We start from the raw sequence: 21,481 nt of genomic DNA, 5'->3' as shown, positions 1-21,481 counted from the left end.
AAGGGTTTCACTTGAATGCTTGGCAGTAACGTCTCAACTGGTCTTTCCACCTGTGCTACAATCCACTGTGAAGTCCATTATTCCATTCTTGTACCAAGTCCCCTTCCACATTCCTTTCACTTCAGACATGTTTGCTGATGTTTACACCTCTCCATAGACTACCCAGCCTATCGTCGCATGCCCAAAGCTTTATTTCCCCAAACCTGCCCTGTGCCAGGGAAACTGCTCTCCAGTTCTCAGGATATTTATGCTATGTTCTCCCACCTCTTATGTCTATATTTTTTGTGGCTTCTTCCCTCTGCCTCAGATACCCCTTGGTAGTTCTACTGTTCTAAATCCTACCCCTATCCTATCCCTTCACTGCATCTCCAAGGCCATTTTCTCCACAAAGCTTTTCTTTAACACATGGGGCTGGTAGGTAAGCCATGAACATTTGTGGAACAAGGTAATCCTCCAAACAAGGGTGATTTTTCTTTCACTGAACCCTTCCCTCCCTTTGTGCTTCTTTTTGGAGCCTCACACTCTTCTGAATTTGTTGAATCCCCAACCAGCTGGAAATTCCCTAAGGCCCGAAACTGTTTCTGGCCTAGGCTGTGCTGATCTTCCTGGGACTAAGGGGTTTCCTGGGTCACAGATCTTCTGTGCTAAAACCAGGAAAGCCTCTGGTGACCCAGCATGTGTTGATCTCCCTAGTCTTGCCTGTCTTTGATTCCATGGATTATTAACAGAAACTATAATGTTGGGTTAATGTGTTGGCTTGGGCATGGCCTCCGAAACATGTTTTTTACATGTCTGCCACCAGCAGGCTCTAGATCCAGGAATGAGGCTTTTCCACTAAGGGAAAACTCCACGTGATCTAGGAAGAAAGTGAGGATATCCAACCAGATGATAAATTTCCTATCTGAAAGAGAAGGTCAACCCTGAAATAAGGAGGCTGAAGACCCTTAGAGAAGCCACAGAAGAGACTGGAAGAAGAGGGGTAGAGTTGCTTTTTTAATGGGGCTTCCAGCTCCTACTTTTCTTCCTGTCTGTAAGTCTCTGAGCTTCTGTTCCAGCTCTGTAAGGTTGGGGACGAGAATGCTCTCCCCACTGGACTGTTGAGAGTTCAATGAGGGGAAATGTGTGCATATACCAGGCCCCATGCTGGGTGCCCAGAGACGCTGCGCCTTCCTGGCATGCTTCTCTTCCCCATCGCTCAGCACCGCGTCCCTCACTCCCTCCACTCCCGATTCTCACTTCCTACTCACTGGCTTCTTCCTTCCCATCTTCCTCCAAACTTCCCATTTTCCACTATGTCTCTCTCACCGTATCTTTTTCACTTAAACAAAAATGGAATTCATAAAAACAGAGGCCAAAAGTCAGGATAAACCTGGAAAAATCACCAAGTACGCAAAGTTTTTCTTGCAAGGTTTGGTTTTTTCAAATGCCTTCTTTGTTTTCCTTGCCCATATCCTTCTTCGGAGAGTCAGGATTTGGGGTTTGCAGAGCTGTGTGGCAGTGGAATGTGGAATGTTCTCCTGAATCTCAGTCCCATGAAGAAAAGAGGCAAAAGTCCTGACATCTTTCCTGAGGATTGTCTGATTTAAAAGAGCTGATTCTCCCCAGGCAAATGACTTACCTTTGTTGTGCTGGGACAAGCTGAACAGGCAAGGAATAAACCTCCCTAGAACACACTGATTAGATTAGCCAGTGAGAACCACTGAAGACGCAGACATTAGATTAAAAAACAGAAAAATGAATGTTACTTTTACAGTGGCTATGAATAGACAAAGACTTTTTGGTTTGAAAATAGTTGGTGAGGCAATAGAGGAGGGGCTATGTTAATAGCAGAGATAGAAAAAACGAGAGGTGGATGGTTCCAACTGCAAGGTCCACCCTAAAGGAATTGGAGTCAGGGCCCAGGAGCCACAGGCCACTGCACTGGGGTAAGTAGAGTGGATTTTACATAAATAAAGTTACAGAGTGGTTGTAGGTTCTGGTTTGGAGATGTGAGTGAACCAACTGAATAGAATAGGCAGATTCCCCAGCCCACCAAGAGTCAGATGAGAATTTTATTGCTTTTTGCTAAAGGCCTGTACAAGACTTAGAGCAAAGATAAGGAGTAACCTGATTGTTGAAACTAATCTATAAGTATTCCAACATAGCAAAGGACAAGTAACGGAATGACGAGGTTTTCCTGTAGTAGTGTTGCGATTTTGTTCTGCTGTGTCCCCCTACTCCAGTTTCCTCTGTGAGGGGAGCGTGTAGTGTGTGCATATCTGTGGAATGTCAGACTTCTAAAGTCAGGGGCTGAGACCTATATCTAGTTAGACCTCTGTGCATATTCTTGAGCCATGGGAGTCTCAGTGGTTGATAGTACTTCACACTTCTTCCAGTTCAATAAGGGTTACCTATGGTGTCTCCTCTGAGTCTCCTAGGAGTCCAGAAAACATGAGACTTGTATAAGAATCCACACTTCAACTAAGCTTTCTGGCCCAAAGAAGGCATTGTTACCAAGGATCTGTTTCTTGAGGTCTTTAGGGAGTGAGAGGGAAGGAACGCATGAGGAACCAGAGCTAGTCCCCATCTCTCTCCCTAGAAGTGACAGACTGCATAGCTCTTATGTATCAGGAGTCCTGGAGATCAGCTGGCTTTCCTTAAAAAAGGGTCATCCAGCCGTGATGAAATCCTGACTTAGAAACCCAGTGCCCTTAGCTTTGTGGGCTTCTGTCCCTGAGAAATGGTGTTTTACCCTCCCTCCAAGCAGGCATCCCAGGATTTGGAATTCAGCTGTGAGCTCATGAGCTGATGGATGTTTCCAGGAGTACCCTGAAGACCACCCAGGTATGCTCTCCCCACCTCCTTTATTTTGGATGGACCAGTCTAAGGAGAGTCATCTTTTCCCACACCATTGGTGGCACTCAGTGAGTGGCTTGTTGCTTGACTGAATGCCTGCCCACACCCTCTCCAGTCAAGTTTATCTTGAGTAACTAAACACTTAGCAATGGAGACACTCATACATCTCCACTGCACTAGAAGTAGGGATGGTGGCCATGCCAACAAAGGAGATAACTTTAGCACAAAGGATGTCACAAGAAACAGATAGTAGAGTGTGTTCTCCAGTGTTATCATTTCCCAAACCAGAATCAACTGGTCTTGGGTTTCCTTCCCTCATCCTTCATCTGTAGAAAACTTTGTTTCTTGAGCTACTTCAGATCTACTTCCCTATCTTAAGAGGTGGGCTATGTGCTTCTTCTGCTAATTTATTATCTCAGAAGTACATAATTTGAGCAATTTTATATAGTTTTGAGGACAGGAGCCCTGTAAGAGTCTCTTACTCAGAAATGGATTCAGCTTGGTTTGAGGTTTAATAGGTCATTGCAATGCTCCCTTCTGGTATCACAGGACATAAGCTGGGTTGGGCGGAGTCCCCCTTTTGTGTCTTAGCCTTCCTCTCCTTACTCCAGAGTAAGAGCAGCCCTGATGGAAAAACAAAATTACCATCCATGCCTACTTCATTTCTGCCCCTCTTACTCTAAGTCTGGGCAATCCGCAACATCTTTTTATATTGGACTTCCTAGATCACAGACTCTTTTTTTAGGAAGAGTCAATTCAAGCCACCCAGGACTTATGATCCCTTGCTCTGTGTCGGGCACAGTGTGAGCACAGTAATGGCATGGGCTGCCTGATGTGGGGCAGTCCCTCTTGGTCAGCAATTCACTCAGCAGCCATCTCAGTGCCCCCTGTGTAAATTTGAGGCACTTTGCCAGGCTGTGGGAACAGTGTGGGGTTAAACAGCACATGGTCCTTGCCCTCAGAAAGCTTAAAATCCAAAGTCAGATACAAGGTTATTTAACAGATGCGTGTTAATTAACAATTAAAGCTAATGTGCACTGTTCCATTGAACAAACATGACTTATGTGGTAAAATCAGAAAGCAGCTTGATTTTTGTCTCTTACTGCTCTTTTACATTTACTCTTTTTTTTTTTTTTTTTTTGAGATGGAGTCTCGCTCTGTCGCTAGGCTGGAGTGCAGTGGCACAATAATTGGCTCGCTGCAACCTCCACCTCCTGAGTTCAAGCGATTCTCCTGCCTCAGCCTCCTGAGTAGCTGTGGTTGTAGGCACCCACCACCACGCCCAACTAATTTTTGTATTTTTAGTAGAGATGGGGTTTCACCATGTTGACCAGGCTGGTCTCGAACTCCTGACCTCAGGCGATCCACCCACCTCGGCCTCCCAAAGTGTTGAGATTACAGGCGTGAGCCACTGCACCCAGCCTCTTTTACATTTATTCGGTGGGACTAGCTCTTGCTTTGCCCCTGAATGGAATTTAGGCAAGTCACAAGGTTGTTCCAGCCACCCTTGGTCTCAGTCTCATTTTAATAATTATAATTTCCAGTCCTACCTAAAGATACCACTTCAATCTTGACTTGGAGTGGAGCCTCTTCTGGTGCTGCTAAAGAACAGAGGCCCGTGGTGGATGGTGGTCTGGATGGGGAGTCCCTGGTTTCCACTCTTCCTCACTTATTTAGCTAACCAGGGTCCTCAACCCCGTCAGGGTTGTTGCCTGGAAGAGAAGAGGTGAGAAGAATATGAAAACTATACGTTTGTGATCTCCAGCTCACCAGTGGAACATGGTGATTCTTTTACAGATTCTTGCTGTAACTCCTCTGTTACTCCCCTCAAAGGCCAGCTTTTTCCACCCCTGTAGGAAATTCCTTTCCTACACCCACCCCATTTATCTCATCCTCATGGCCCCATGGGAATTTCTCTGCTTCTGCCCCCACCCATCATCTCTTTCCTGCCCATTTCTCCTCCATCTTGGATGAAGCTACCCTCTTCCCCTGGTCCTGGTTCAGCCTTTCATCGCTGCTCAGTAACATGAACCCCCAAAAAGCCAGCCAGCAAAGCAGAGCAGGCCTGCCTAGCATAGAAAATGCCAGAATTTGGAGAACAAAAGTGCTTTTTTGGATAGGACTGTTTTTTGTTGTTGCTCATACAACACAGCTCTTTGTGATTAATCTACATTTAACATAGCTCCAATCAAAGTGATAAAGAAATATTTTTATTAAAATGATTTCCTTTTATGGCAAAATAAGCATAAGATTGACCATTTTAACTATTTTTGAATGTACAATTCAGTGGCATTAATTATATTCACATTGTTCTGTAATACAACCATCACCACCATCCATTTCCAGAACTTTTTCATCATTCCCAACTGAAACTTTATACCCATTAAACACTAACTCCCCATTTCTCACTGCCCCAGGCCCTGGTAGCCATTAATCTACTCTCTGTATCTATAAATCTGACAATTCTAGGTACCTCTATAAGTGGACTCATACAGTATTTGTCGTTTTGTGTCTGGCTTATTTCACTTAGCGTGATGTCCTTAAGTTCATTCATGTTGTAGCATGTGTCTGAATTTTATTCCTTTTTAAGGCTGAATCACGATTGTATGTATGTACCACATTTTATTTATCCATCTGTTGATGAATATTTAGGTTGTTTCTACCTTTTAGCTATTGTGAAGAATGCTGATATGCACATTGGGATATAACTATCTGTTTGAATCCTGGTTTTCAGTTTTCTTGGGTGTATACCCAGAAGTGGAATTTACTTAATTGTTCTTGAATAGGGAATACCTCTGTATGGTGGACAATATAAAAGGTACAAGAAGTCATAGAGTTCCCTGAGCCCCGACCTCCAAGTTCCCCTCCCAGGAAGCATCACTGTAACCAGTTTCTGTGACCTCTTCCCTGGAGAGACCATACTGTACCCATAGGCACCCTCTACACAGGCATGATGACAGCCATAAGCACTCTTCTACACTTTCCCTTTTTCCTACTTAACAATATTTCTTTTTTAAAAATTTAAAAATCTATTTATTTTTTTCTTCAACTTTTATTTTAAGTTCAGGGGTACATATGCCAGATGTGCAGGTTTGTTACATAGGTAAATGTATGCCATGGTGGTTTGCTGCACAGATCATCCCATTACCTAGATATTAAGCCCAGCAAATATTAGCTGTTCTTCCTGATGCTCTCCCTCCCCTAACAATATTTCTAAAAAAATCATTCCATAGCACCATTTAAAGAATATCCTCATTCTATTTAAAAGGTTCATCGTTTTCCAAAGTAGAGACAAAACTTGTTTTTCTTTCTTTCTTTTTTAAAATCAGTCCTTTATTCATGGACATTCAGGTTGTTTCCAATGTTTTGCCACTGTGAACAATGCTCGGATGATAACAGCCAGCATTTCCTGAATGCTTACCATGTGCCAGGCCCTTGTTAAAATCCTTCCCATGTATCATATTTAATTCTCACTACAACTGTGACATAAGCACAGGGAGGTGAGTAACTGTCCCAAACCACATCTCTGTTTTTGTCCACAGGTGGGAGTGTAAGATAACCTTCCAGATAAAGAGTTGCTGCTACCAAAAGGTATGTCCATTTTATTTATTTATTTTTATTTTTATTTTTTTGAGATGGAGTCTTGCTCTGTCACCTAGGCTGGAGTGCAGTGGCACGATCTGGGCTCACCACAACCTCTGCCTACTGGGTTCGAGCAGTTCTCATGGCTTAGCTTCCCAAGTAGCTGGGACTACAGCCACTACACCTGGCTGACTTTTGTATTTTTTTAGTAGACATGGGGTTTCACCATGTTGGCCAGACTGGTCTTGAACTCCTGGCCTCAAGTGATCCACCCACCTCAGCCTCCCAAAGTGCTGGGATTACAGGCGTGAGCCACTGTACCTGGCCAGGTATGTCCATTTTAAAGTTATATAAATACAGCCAAACTGGCTGCATCGAGGCTGTGCTTATCTGCATCTCACTGGCAAGTAGATGTATGAGGGCCCATTGCCCTCCTCTCTCACTGTTGAAAAATTTCTTGATATCTGCCGATCTGAAAGGTAAAAAATGGTATTTCATTGTGGTGCTGATTTGCATTTTAATTTTACTTGTAGATTTTTAAAATAACACAGTTACAAGATTCAAAATTTGAAGAGTACAAGAGTAGAGACAAACCCCCATCCATGTGTCTCCCCAGTGCCCAGTTCCTGTCCCCAAACAAAATCAGGCCTCCATTTGCCTCCATTTCTCCCTCCTATGCCTATGGTCAAAACCTGGGCCACACCATTATCCTTAGCTGCTCCATCTCTGAAATATTAAATTCAAACATTCTACTCTGATCTCGCCACTGTCCTATTAACTACCAAGCACCTGACCCTCTCTTGATGCCCCACCTGCCCTTTACCTTACCTTCCTTTCCCATCCAGCTGAGGTTCTCTGCCCTCCAGAGGCTCCATGTCAGGCGCCACTGGGCTCCAGCCACACCTGCCTGGAAAGCCTTACTTTCTGTTTCACGATACCTAGTTCAGAGTCAGCCCACCCATGGGATCACTCTCATTTAAAGATCTTAGGCAGAATAACCACATAATTTACTGCTCAAAATGGGACCCTTTTGAGAATGAAAGGAGCACAACTAATTATGAAGCCAAGACAACAGGGGCAGATAGTTACTGTCCAAGGCAGATCGGGATGCAAATTCAAGCTCAATCTTAAGGAACAATTACATTTAATTTCGGAGCAGAGATCAATAATATGTGCTGAGCCCTGCGAATGATTTAAGTTGCTGCCTTTGTCCGCTGCCCAAGCTTCTCTTCTAAATGGATTTTTTAAACAGTGCATTTCCCTAACACTATTTTCTTAAAACTTTATCCTTTAGAATACCAGTTTCGGCCCATAAACTCAAGTGTGTAAAAAAATTAGTTTGTTTATAAAATTCTCCTTCATCTGTACTTGAGCCCCGCTCTTTAAAAAGGTGCTGACCCTTAATCCCAGTCAGTTCTGAGTTTCCTTTGCAGTTTCCATTTTGGGTTTGGGGTGGGGTGGAGTGCAGGGTTCTAGACTCTCAGTGACCTACAAAGGGTCCTGCCCTTCATGTCATCTATCCTTGTCCCATCTGGTCCTGGGTCGTTGGTGCCTGCAGGTTATTGTGGAGGTCAAAGTCTCTCTCCACCTCTTCAAGCAGCCTCACTCAGGGAGCTTGCCTGGGGTCCTCTTGGCCTAGATACACCCAGCAGCTGTTCTGTTCCCTGCTCTCAGATCCACAGATTGTGAGGGATGCTGCTTTCTCTGTGGGGCTCAGTCCAGGGAGCGGGGATTGGGACCTCAGCCTCCAGGACCTAGCAAAGTCAATGTTTCTCAACTTCCCTCCAGCCTTTGTCCTTGCCCTGGGGAATTATTCTTGGATATGAGTGAGGGGCAGGGAATGCCTTGATCTTTCTCATGACCATTTTCTCCCACACTTTGGTCTAGGTCTAGGCCAGAAGTCTCTTCTATTCCCCTAAGGAAAGAGGCTCCTTACCTCTTCTTTCTGTTTTCACACACCTTCCCTGCAGCAATGAGCATAGAATGGCCTGGCTATTTGAGGCAGGGAAGGGAGAGAGGTAAGGGGAGTATCAGGCTGGAGAAGGCATTGGCTAATATTTCAGAACATAATCTTGCAAGGCATATAAAAATATCTTATACAAGATGTGCTTCCTGTTTTAACTATTATGATTTTATAATTTTTCAGATCTTGTAGGCAAGACTCCCTATTCCCATCCCCCAGGCCAGGGCAGCCAGTTATCAGCTGTGTGAACTTGGGCAAATTATGTTATCCTCTCTAAGCTTTAGTTTTTTCGTCTGTAAATGAGGATAATAGTAGTTCATATCAGTGCTTCTACTTGCCAAGCACTGCTCTCAATGTTTCATGTATGTTACCTCATTTAATACTCATCATAAACCTATGGGATAGCTGCTATCATTCCCATTTTACAGATGAGGAAACCACTTCTCACAGTTGTAACTTGCCCAAAGTCATGTGATCTCCTGCTCTTAATCACTTCCCCAACCTGTCTTTCATAAATATTAATAATGACCTCAGCCAGGCGTGGTGGCTTACTCCTGTAATCCCAGCACTTTGGGAGGCTGAGGTGGGAGGATTGCTTGAGCCCAGGAGTTCAAGACCAGCCTGGGCAACATATTGAGACCTCATCTCTACAAAAAATTAAAAAGTAGCCTGGTATGGTGTGGCACCTGCCTATAGTCCCAGATATTTGGGAGGCTGAGGCAGGAGAATCGCTTGAGCCTGGGAGGTCAAGGCTGTAGTGAGCTGTGATAGTGCCACTGCACTCTAGCCTAGGTGACAGAGTGAGAATGCTGTCTCCACAATAAATAAATAAATAAATGAAATGACCTCTTGAGGTTGCTGTGAGGATTAATTGAGGTAAGGTATGTAAAGCTGTCAGCCCTGAGCCTAGCACATAGTAAAAACTCAGTACATTCTAAGCTCATACTTTAGCCATGATTTTTTGGTCATTTTCATTCAAAATGCCCTTGGAATTGTATTTAAAATATATATAAATGTCTGAACTTAAGCATATTTGCCCTATTCAGTTTTCCCATCCAGAAATATGATGTCTTATTATGTGTTTCTTAGCAAAGTTTTGCCACGTGTCCTCATATAAAACATGCATTTCTAGGCGAGTTTATTTCTAGATGTTTTAGGGTTTTTGTTTTTATTGAAAATGAAATCTTTTCCTCCATTGTATCTTTTGATCAGACAGTGCTGGTGTCTCCAGGTTCTTATTAGTTAATCAGCTCCCAGATGTCTCTAGAGGCTATGTCTTTCCATAGCCCTCTTATTTTAGGTTGACATGAAGATCATTTGGCCCAGCCAGTGACATACGCTCTGAGAGAGAGGCACAGGGGCACAGGGTGAGAAGTAGCTTTCCAGGGTAGCTCAGGTTGGCTGAGGTGATCAGAGAACTGTCCTTTGGCTAAGGAAGTACAGCCTGGGGAGAGGGGAAGGAAGGGGCCAGCCCTTGCTTGGCTGCATGCTGTTTCTGGGTCCATTTGGGGATCTGTCTGAAGAACGAGTTCCTAGGTACCCACATTTCCTCTGTGGCCTCAATGATTCCCAATAGTGTGTGCCAAATGATGGCTCCAGTGGCAGCTCTGCCAAGGCCCAAGATGCCTCCGTGGGCTCTAGCTTGCTTAAGTAGAGAGACTGTCATCCAGCAATGTCTCATTCTTCATCATGTGATTAAGAGCAGGAGATCACATGACTTTGGGCAAGTTACTTACAACTGTGAGAAGTGGTTTCCTCATCTGTAAAATGGGAATGATAGCAGCTATCCCATAGGAAGTGGAGGATACATAATCTGTGGCGTCCCTGAATCAGCTCCCTGCCTGACTCCACTGCAGACCTCCAGAGGGCAGCAGAGAGCAGGCAAGACGGGAGAACAGGACTTGGTTCCTGGAGAAGCAAAAAAGACTCTCTGCTCCTGCAAGCTGCTAGGAATACTGCTCATCCCCCTCCCCGCCTCCTCAGGATACACATGTGAGCTTCTTCCTGAGGGTGTAATAATTATAATAATATTATTAGTTAATACTAACTATTCCCTGTGGGCCAGACATTGACCTAAGGTTTCACATTGATTCAGATAACCATTGAGGTAGATATAATTATTATTCGCATTTTTTTTCAGTTGAGGAAATTGCAGTGAAAAAAAAAAGAAGTTGTCCAAGATGCCACAGTTAGTTGAGTCAGGATTTGGACCCAATCATTTATGAGCCAGGCTCTATTCTAGGTATCAGAGATACATCAGTGAATAAGACAAACTTTCTGCCATATTGGAGGAACAGACAAAAAGTGAACAAATGAATAAACACATACTGTGGTTTTGGATAGAAATGCCATTTAGACAAATAAAGCAGAGTTAATGACCAGAGAGGGGCATTTTAGATGGGCTGGTCAGGGAAGGTTTTCTTGGGTAGATGGCATTTGACCAAATAGTTGAATACACGAGGTAGCAAGTCAGGCTGAAGATTAGGGAAACAGTAAGTGCAAAGGTCCTGAGGTGGGAATGAGCCTGGGGTGTTAGAGGAACAGCAAGACTTGCGTCGTGGCTGCTGTAGAGTGAGCCGAGTCCATAGGCCACAGCAGCGATTGGGAAGTAGATAGGGGTGGTGAAGAAAGAGAACTCCTCCACAGCATCACCTGGGCTTGGCCTCTTACAATGTCTCAGCTTCTCTTTAACATATCTCTCACCTTTTTTCACCTTCCTGCAGAGTGCTGACACCATCACAGTATGTTCCCTTCTCAACCCTGGACATGGTTCAGAAACAGCTAAAGCAGACAAGAATCTGGGGCAGCCAATATTGTACCACCTGCCAAAGCTTGGCACAAACAATCTGGAAGCCAAAAATTGCACATACTGTGGTGAGTACTGCCCAGCCTGTGGGGAACTTCTTGTGGGTAAAGGTTCTAGATAAGCCTGCCAGGGCCCCCAAATGAATCCTTAGTCCCATTAACAAGGGCCTAAGTCCCGCAGGCCTTTCCAGGGTAGGAAGCTGCTATTTTCTTCAAAGAATTTTGCCCCCATGCCATGGTCCTAGGTCAGACCTACCTAAATCCTTTCAGATGTCAAACCCAGGTAGGGTTCAGATGGCATTTAGCCAGGAGATGGAAGGGAATCCGTCCCAGTGAGCAGCCATCACTGTCCACCAGGTATCTGAAGAAAATGGAGGCACAGAGGTCAAACAGTCATCCCTCAGCATCTGCAAGGGATTGGTGCCAGGACCACCCGTAGATATCATAATCTGAAGATGCTCAAGTCCTTCACATAAAATGTGACCTATGCAATCCTCTGTTTATCTTAAATCATCTCTAGATTACTTCGAATACCTAATACAATGTAAATGCTATGTAAATAGTTTTTTATACTGTATTTTGGGAGTATTATTTTTTATTGTTGTATTGTTATTTATTTTTATTTTTTCAAATATTTTTGATCTGCTGTTTGTTGACTCCTTGGGTTAGGAACCTGTGGATATAGAGGGCCAACTGTACTAAGAATCTTTAGCTCCCTCTCCTGGCAGATCCCTGGCGAGTGAGGTGGGCCTATGTTGAGTGCTCCTTTTGCCTGAGTGAGAGCCTAGAACCAGAGACTGAATGCCCTAATCCAGGATTTCTTGATCATGGCACCATTGATAGTTGGGGTCAGATAATTTTTTTGTTGTGGGGGCCATCCTTGTAGGACGTTAGCAGCATTTCTGACCACTACCCACTAGAGGCCAGAAGTACTCTCCCTCCAGTAGTGACCTTCCCTCCAGTATAACCAAAATAGATCCAGACATTGCCAGATGTGCCCAGGGGAAGACACCTGTGGCTGAGGAACACTGGGGCCAGTTCTTTCCCTTTCCCCAAGACCAGTGCATGAGCCTCAGCTGTTACCACTCTGGTGGTGAGGAAGAGTTGACAGTATCCCCCAAGCATTTACTTCAGTGCCACAGCTGAGTGGCTGGCTTGGCATGTCCTTGGCTGTAACATGGAAGGAGGCCAGAGGACAGGGAGCAGAGAGAAAAGGGGTAGCCATATCTTCTCTCAACATTTTTTGGCTTACAAAACTAAACCACAGGGAAGGGCAGGGATGAGGTTGGCCATACACATCACAGGACTAGGTCTTTCTCTCCCTCCTCATCTCTCTCTCTCTTTCATGCACATACATGCGCACACACACGCACACACACACACACACACACAAATGGACACCCCTCTGCCATTCTGTGTATTGGCTTTTCTCTCTCCCACTGAAGACAGGCTTTTTCCAGAGACAAAAGAGTACTTTGTGCAGGAGGAAAAAGTTAACGAATGGACTGATTTTGCCCAAGAGATTGGCAGGGCAGGAATAAGAGGTTATGAGTATCAATGAGAGAAGAGAGGAAAGGATTCATTATGATGTCCAGACCAGAAGGGGAAGTAAATGAAGCCATGAGGAGCTGGTATATGGGGAGAAGAGGAAGATGCCTGAAGATCAAAGGTCTTCATGCAGTTGAAAAGCAGGAAAGAAGGGAGTCAGAGCTTGGGAAGTTATCCATTAAGAGTCCCAACATCTGACCAGAACTGTCAATGTATGTTTATTTTGCTTCAGCGATAATTTCACTTAGACACATAGAATCGTAGGGCAGTAGAGTTTCAAAGAAACTTAAGAGATCCTTGAGTCCAACCCAGTCTATGTGGACTCTTTTACTAATTCTTCAGTGCTGGACTTTGAGAATGAGACTTGTTCACAACCCCTCTGTGCTTAGAATCAAATGAGAAATAAGATATAGAAGTCCAGCAGCTGGAACTAAAATAAATTTATGACAGCTAAAGCTGATTGGAGAATGTGGTTTTGAATGTACAGTTGGGCTTCCTAATTCTTTCCCTCAGAATGAAACTTATCTACCCAGAACTGGAAGACTCCCCTATCCCACAACGCAAGAACCTGCCCTTCCTAGGGCAGGTTGAAAAGAAGAGGAGAGGAGGGAAGCACAGGCCTTCTCTGAGGAGGCTGTTCCCAGAAGGAGGAAATCCAGAAGAACCTGAGTCATGACATATGCCCATTTTATGTGCTCCAATTCTCCAAGCACACGAACCACTCATCCTCTGCTAGATAGCATGAGTTTAGAGGTAGAGCAGTAAGTGGAGAGTACTTTTCTCAAGGCTGCAGCAAGGACAGAAGTTCCCACTTTATAAGGTGAGGCAAAAGTGCTTGGAGGGAGAGAGGTAGATTTCCCCCTGACAAATGCCATTTAATAGAGCAAACTCTGCTCCAAGAACACTGAGGCCCAGAGAGGTGATTTCCCAAAGGTACCATGGCTCTGAAAGAATAAGGGTCTCCAGACTCCTAATGGTGAAATTTCACCATTTCACATGTGTAATCAAAGGAGGACAGGTTCTTCCACATTTATCAGCATAATAGCAACAACAATCTTCTATTTCTTCATGCACAAGGCCTTCTAACTCCTTCCTTCATCACTATCACTGCCTCCACATCCTCCATCTACACCTTGCCACCTCTATCTACACATCACACCCTCATCCACACCTCACCACTACCATCTACACCTCACTACCCTCACCTATACCTCACCACCTACACCTAAACCACACACCTCCATCTAGACGTCACCACCTCCATCTAGACATTACCACCTCCATCTAGACCTCACCACCACCATCTAGACCTCACCACCCTCACCTATACCTCACCACCCACACCTAAACCACACACCTCCATCTAGACCTCACTACCTCCATTTAGACCTCACCACGTCCATCTAGACCTCACCTCCTCCATCTACACCTCACCACCACCATCTATACGTCACTATCACCATCTACACCTCACCACCCTCACCTATACCTCACCACCTACACCTAAACCACACACCTCCATCTAGACCTCACCACCTCCTTCTAGACATCACCACCTCCATCTAGACCTCACCACCACCATCTACACCTCACCACCCTCACCTATAACTCACCACCTACACCTAAACCACACACCTCCATCTAGACCTCACCACCCACATCTAGACCTCACCACCTCCTATACCTCACCACCTACACCTACACCATACACCTCCATCTAGACCTCACCGCCTCCATCTAGACCTCACTGCCTCCATCTAGACCTCACCACCTCCATGTAGACATCAGCACCTCCATATAGACCTCACTGCCACCACCATCTAGACCTCACCACCCTCACCTATACCTCACCACCTACACCTAAACCACACACCTCCATCTAGACCTCACCACCCCCATCTAGACCTCACCACCTCCATCTGACATCACCACCTCCATCTAGACCTCACCACCACCATCTATACCTCACCAACCTCACCTATACCTCACCACCTACACTTACACCATACACCTCCATCTAGACCTCACCACCTCCATCTAGACCTCACCACCACCATCTACACCTCACCACCCTCACCTATATCTCACCACCTACACCTAAACCACACATCTCCATCTAGACCTCACCACCACCATCTACACCTCACCACCCTCACCTGTATCTCACCACCTACACCTAAACCACACATCTCCATCTAGACCTCACCACCATCTAGACCTCACCACCCTCACCTATACCTCACCACCTACACCTACACCACACTCCTCCATCTAGACCTCATCACCTCCATCTAGACATCACCATCACCATCTACACCTCACCACCCTCACCTATACCTCATCACCTACACCTATATCACACACCTCCATCTAGACCTCGCTACCTCCATCTAGATATCACCACCTCCATCTACACCTCACGACCACCATCTACACCTCACCACCCTCACCTATCTCTCACCACCTATACCTACGCCACACACCTCCTTCTATACCTCACCATCACCATCTACACCTCACCACCCTTGTCCACACCTCATCACCATGTATACCTCATACCTCCATCTATACTTCACACCACCATACACTACCTCACCATCTCCATCTCCACCTCACACCTCTGTCTACAACTTACCACCTCCATCTACATCTCATCACTTCCATGTAAACCTCACCACCTCCATTCACATATCACATTTCCATCTACACTTCACCCCCCATCTACACCTCACACTTCCATCTACATCTGATCACTTCCATATACACCTCACCATCTCCACCTTACACCACCGTCAATACCTCAGAACCTCCATCTATACCCCATACCACCATATACATCTCACCACCTCTCTCTACATGAACCTCATCATCTCTGTCTACACCTCACACCTCCATTTACACCTCACACCACCTCCATCTACACCTCACCATGTTTGTTTGTTTGTTTGTTTGTTTGTTTGAGATGGAGCCTCGCCGTGTTGCCCAGGCTGGAGTGCAGTGGCACTATCTTGGCTCACTGCAACCTCCGCCTCCTGGGTTCAAGCAATTCTCCTGCCTCAGCCTCCTGAGTAGCTGGGATTACAGGCATGTACCACCACATCTGGCTAATTTTGTATTTTTAGTGGAGATGGGGTTTCTCCATGTTGGTCAGGCTGGTCTCGAACTCCTGAACTCAGGTGATCTGCCCGCCTCAGCCTCCCAAAGTGCTGGGATTACGGGCGTGAGCCACCACACCCGGCCAATTTACTATCTTTATCTACATTTCATTACCTCCATCTACACCTCACACCTCTATCTATACCCCACATCTCCATTTATACCTCATCACCTGCATCTGTACTTCATAACTTCACCTACACTTTACACCTTCATCTACATTGCCACCGTTTTACTGCTACTTCTACAACCAACACCTCTGCCTCTATCATTTTCTCCATCATTCCTACCACCTCTCCTTTTGTCAGCAGAGAGCCAGCAGCCATCCTTTTGGCTGGAGTGACAGGTGTGAACTAGGAGCCTACCTGCATGGCTGTAGTCTAGAGAGGTCTTCAAGGTCTTTGAGGTTAAAAAAAAAATGTCTCTAGCTTTTGGTGTCACCTGATCTCTCCGAAAAGGTCACCTTGGAGCATTTTACAAAGATTGGGTTAGAGATGCCTAAAAATAAGTACACATGTTTATGTAAACTCATTGACCACAAGTACAGACTGCCACTATTTCCAAGCCATGCCCTAATCTGACAGCTGAACATTTAGGTACTTGCAATGTGATAAGATCCTTTATCAACATCTCAGCAGTCCTCAAAGCTCTAACAACTTAAAAGTTGGAGACATTAAAGTGAGCTGTAATTTTGAGCCAACTGGGGTCATGCCAGTACATAACAACAGGCCCACGTATCTGTAGGTTCCTGGAAATGCCACTGCCCCTCTCTGGGCCTCAATTTTTCATTATATAAAGTGGGCAACCTTGAGATAAGGCTGGATTCTTCAAGTTCTCTTCCAGCTCTAACATCCCTCCAAGACAGAATCCAAAAAGAATCTGGGTTAAAAACTATGCAGGGAGATAAAATAGCATTTCAGAATCAAGGCTGGAATATACCACTGCCATAAAAAGATCACCAAGTTAAAATTCAAGAAGAAATTTAGAGCAAAGGCATCTGCCTATGATCATGGCCAGCTCTATTCAGACCCTGCTATACCCTGGTCTGTCAGTCAACCAGGCATCCATCCCTGACCCTGCAGGAGCGTCCCTCCCCCCACCTTGGTCACATGGCTGGCCGCCACTGAGCCTCAGAAGTCAATCTCCAATGCCCCAAATACTGTTCAGCCTGGAAACCACAGAGAGCCCTTCTTGCCACCCAACAGGAACAGAGCAAGTGGTTCTGGCCTCCCTGGGATTTGGATCCTGGTTTCCAGAGCTAAGAACACAAAGGTAAGTTTGCAGCTGGAAGCTTCAGAGAAAGTAGACAGAGCTATGCAGATAAGGGAAAATGTGTTTCATAGCATGAACACAGAGTATTTAAGAGTAAGCTTCACACACACTGAAGAGGAGAATACCAGGAAAGCTGGGCAAATCTTCCAAATGAGTATAGGATATTTGGTTTTCCTTTAAAAATTATACTGTTTTTATCACCCTGGCCTTGAGGTTTTTGGGTGCAAAACCACTCCAAATTAACAGAAATGACAGGAAACTTGTTCTGTCTGACACCATGGTAAGTTAGTTCTATCTTGTTCTCATCTAATAGAACTGAATCTTTCTCTTCTAGTACGTAAATTTCTGTTGTCTTTGTCAAATGTGTTAGACTGGCTGAAATACTTATGAAGTAGCAAAAACCCTGAGACTTACCTCTTTCCCAGAAAACCATGGGAAAATAAATTATATCTGCTAATGTAGCATCTCAGGATAGAAACAGAATAATGGCTAGTCTCCTTTCATTACACATTTTTGTTTTTAGGTTTTGGATACGGTACCTGGTTTTGCTACTGCTAGTTTTCTTAGGGATATTTGTTTGTTTTGTCCTTTCTCTCCTGGAGCATGCGTGGGTGTTTCAGTCTGCAGGGCCCCGAGGCAATGGACAAGCTAGGGGTTGAGAGGGTAGCCTTTCCCTGGCTTCTAGCTTAGCTTTCTAAAGCCCAGCATGACCCCGTGTCATTCTTGTCGATTCAGTTCACAAAATAATCCCAGATAAGCCCTTGGGGAAGTCCTTTTCTGAAATACTCTGGGCTGTCAGAAGGGTGCATCAGACACCATGTTGGCTGGTCTAGAGTTCTTAGATATCAAGGTCAAGTGGCTTAAAATATGGGGTGGAAAGAAAAGCTCCCCAAAAGCTGACCAGTGAATGTGGCACAACCTTTTTACTAGTTACCTTTTTTCCCAGAGACATGGATGTCTAATCTTAAGGATTCATTACTATGCTTTACTCTTCTTCCCTAGTAATGAAACTATTTTGTTCTGTTCCCAGTGTCTAGTGCAAATATCTGGAACAAAGTGGATACTCAATAAGGATTTGTTGGATTGAATTGATGTGTCCTTGTGGATAGGGAAGGGGTGGGCACCTAAACACCAGATGATTCTATCACAAGGGCTCTGATGACTAAAACGTGTCATACATCTTTAAAGCTAGCTGTGTCACCACCACCTTGCTGCTTTGGGCATGCAGTCTGCTTGGGCAAGGACCCCTGTGTGTCTGTTTGCTAGGATAGCACTCTGATCCTTGGTCTTACAGGCTTAAGGTGTTTTGTTTGTTTGTTTGTTTTTGTTTTTGAGTGCAGTGGTGCCATCTCAGCTCACTGCAACCTCTGCCTCCTGGATTCAAGCAATTGCTGTGCCTCAGCCTCCCGAGTAGCTAGGATTACAGGCGTGCACCACCACACTCGGCTAATTTTTGTATTTTTAGTAGAGACAGGGTTTCACCATGTTGGCCATGCTGGAATCGAACTCCTGACCTCGTGATCTGCCCGCCTCGTCCTCCCAAAGTGCTGGGATTACAGGCGTGAGCCACTGCACGTGGCCCAGGTGTTGATTTTGTCAGTAGGGTTTTGGATTCTCAGGGATCCCAGATGTGATTTCAGGCTAGTGGTAGGGGCAATGAAATGGAAAGTGACTTTTGACTCAGGACAGAAGAGAATTTTGTGTGTTCCCTTACTGTAAAGCCATGCTCAACACCAAGGCGATCTATGATCTAAAGATGGATGGGGGAATAACAGTGAGCTAGTTGGGCAGGGAAGAGACTGGTGTTACAGGTCCTTTCATTTGCTGCATGCCAGAGGCTGATGTGTTGCTAGCACAATTCCTTTGGCAAGATATTGTAGTGGATGATTGTACTGGTTAGTACTCTTTGGATACAAGTAACTCAAATCAGCTGAAGCTAGTTGAAGAGAAAAGAGGGTTTTTAAAATTTTTTTATTTTTTTAAACATCAAATGCCTTTTTACCAAGGAGGGACTTATTATAATACCAGGGAAGTCTTGTGGACCGGAGTTCAGCCAGGCCTCAGGAAGGGCCTGGAACCCAGAAGTGGAAGACTGTCAGTAACCCATACCAGGCCCCCTCTGTTTCTCACATCTTTATTTCTCTTTCGTCTTTCTCCCTCCTTCCTTCTCCCTTCCTTCTCCCTTCCTCCTCCCCTCCTTTCCTTTCCTTTCCTTTCCCCTTCCCTTCCCCTTCCCCTTCCCCTTTCCCCCTCCCCTCCCCTCCCTTCCCTTCCTTCTTCCTTCTTTCCTTAGGTTTGAGAATCAAAAAGAATCCAGTTTGAACCCTGGCTCCACCATGGCTGGTTCTGTGATCCAGGACAAATCACTTAACTCTTAGTCTTCATTTACTCATCTATAAAATGTGGGTGAAAATTATATACCTCACTGAATTATAGTGAGGATTCAATAAGATGATGAAAGCAAAATACCTGACATTCAACTAATACACATTATATGAAATGCTGGAGGTAGAAATTCTGTTGCATGAATTAGGCTGGGACTTTTATGGTGGGCAGTATAGTTGCCAGTCAGAGCAGAGCTAATCCAAACACTTCCCCAGGGCCAACACTCAGCTTCAGATGGATGGACTCCTTTGAAGATCATCTCAGGGAGTTTGGGTTCTTCTACTTCTGCATATTCCTGGGAGGGAGCTTCTCTCAAGTTGTGAGAAGTTGGGATCTAGCACAGAGGACATGAAGCAGGAATGGTCTTAGCTAGTCCAGAACTGGAAGGTATGCATCTACCTGAATATTATAGCTACATTATAGCTCCATACTTCTATAGTTTGTAGAGTTCTCATCTGTGTTTGCATATGTATTGTCATTTGTCAGTGACAAGCAGGCATTTCATTATTTTTCCAACAAACTTTCTTTTCCAATCTGAGAATCCATAGTACTTCAAATAGGAAATAACACATTTTAAAATCATGTTGGAAAGCTCTATTTCATTTTCATTAGTCAGGCACTTGTGATTGCAAACATGAGAAGCCCAACTCAAACATGAGAAAAAATAAAGTGAATTTAACAGCTCAACACAACTGAGAAGGACAGTTCAAAATTAACTGACTCAGGGAGTCACAGTGTTATCTGGACTCTGTTTCTCTACTTTTCTTGAATGCTTCCCTCCATGTGACAGGCAAAATAGTAACTTCCAAGCTTATCAGCTTAGCAGTGCCAGAGTGAGCAGAGTTTTTGGATGAATCAAGCAGAAATGTCCTGGGAAGAATTCTGATTGGCCCAGTTAAGGACATGGGATCATTCCTGAACCAGTCTCTGTGGCTGGAATGGGGTGTGTTTGACCAGCCTGGGTCACATGGCCTTTCCTTCAGAGGCTTGGGGAGACATGGAGTCTCCCCCTAAGACATTTGAAGGTGGTTGTCTATGGGAAAAAAAATCTGTTACTCAGCTTCTCTGTACTCTTCACACCATACTGGAGTAGGAAGATATCAGCTTTTTAAAAATCACCAACTGACCCAATTTAATAAAAAATATAAATTGGGAGTTACTTTCTTAAAATAGAGGTTTTAAATGTGGTCCCTGGATCAGCATCATCAGCAGCAACTGGGAACTTGTTGGAAATGTACATTTCCAGGCCCCAACCTAGAGCTATGGAATCAGGCACTCTGGGGATGAGACCCAGCAATCTATTTTAACAAGCTTTCTGGAGCTGCTCACACGTGTAATCCCACCTACTTTGGAGACTGAGATGGAAGGATTGCTTGAGCCCAGAGGTTGGAGGCTGCAGTAAGCTGTGATTGCGCCATTGAACTCCAGCCTGGGCGACAAAGCGAGACCCCAACTCCAAGAAAACAAACAGAAAGCAGCCTTCTAGGTATTATGATGCACGCTCAAGTTTGAGAACCACTGCCTTAAAGGGTTCTTTGTTGTGTAATTCTGCTAAGTATTTTAAACATGATTCACTTTGAACAAATAGATTTAACCATTAATTTTCAAGGATACAATTATCACATAAAGTAGGAACACATGGCATATTAAATTATTTACTTTAAAACGTTTAAAATAAAAAAGCTATAATTTAAAAATCAATTAACACATGTAAGAGCTTTCCATAAAAAGCAATGGAACTCCATTCCAGCTTCCTCCATATGCCACAGTTCCACTTCCCAAAGATAACCACTAGGAATTCTTTTAGCTTTTTCTCCTGGCTACCTTTTAATAATAATGATAGTAATAATTATTCCTGCTATTTATTGAAGTTAGATATTAGCCACTTACAAGTGAATATTTAACTATCTTACAACCACAGACATCTCTTTTTTA

The 21,481-nt window shown here is 44.5% G+C and overlaps 1 protein-coding gene across 1 annotated transcript in view, besides 2 other annotated features; it reads left to right on the top strand.

Moving 5' to 3' along the window:
• SLC4A5 (solute carrier family 4 member 5) overlaps positions 1,865-21,481 on the top strand; it is a 127,175-nt gene continuing 107,558 nt past the window's right edge. The window contains exons 1-5 of the mRNA NM_133478.3: positions 1,865-1,925; positions 2,747-2,823; positions 6,378-6,426; positions 11,104-11,254; positions 17,095-17,161. The gene's annotated coding sequence lies outside the window, so the exon portion shown is untranslated. The remainder of the gene's footprint in view (positions 1,926-2,746; positions 2,824-6,377; positions 6,427-11,103; positions 11,255-17,094; positions 17,162-21,481) is intronic.
• Positions 10,145-10,334: an enhancer, noted in NCBI's record as "active region_16053". NCBI's record gives its function as "activates an Ori minimal core promoter by ATAC-STARR-seq in GM12878 lymphoblastoid cells {active_cell/tissue: GM12878}" and the evidence as "EXISTENCE:reporter gene assay evidence [ECO:0000049][PMID:35858748]".
• Positions 11,837-11,926: a silencer, noted in NCBI's record as "silent region_11657". NCBI's record gives its function as "represses an Ori minimal core promoter by ATAC-STARR-seq in GM12878 lymphoblastoid cells {active_cell/tissue: GM12878}" and the evidence as "EXISTENCE:reporter gene assay evidence [ECO:0000049][PMID:35858748]".

Source organism: Homo sapiens, chromosome 2, assembly GCF_000001405.40.
Source record: "Homo sapiens chromosome 2, GRCh38.p14 Primary Assembly".
Classification (NCBI taxonomy): domain Eukaryota; kingdom Metazoa; phylum Chordata; class Mammalia; order Primates; family Hominidae; genus Homo; species Homo sapiens.
This window is presented reverse-complemented; position numbering and strand designations above follow the sequence as displayed.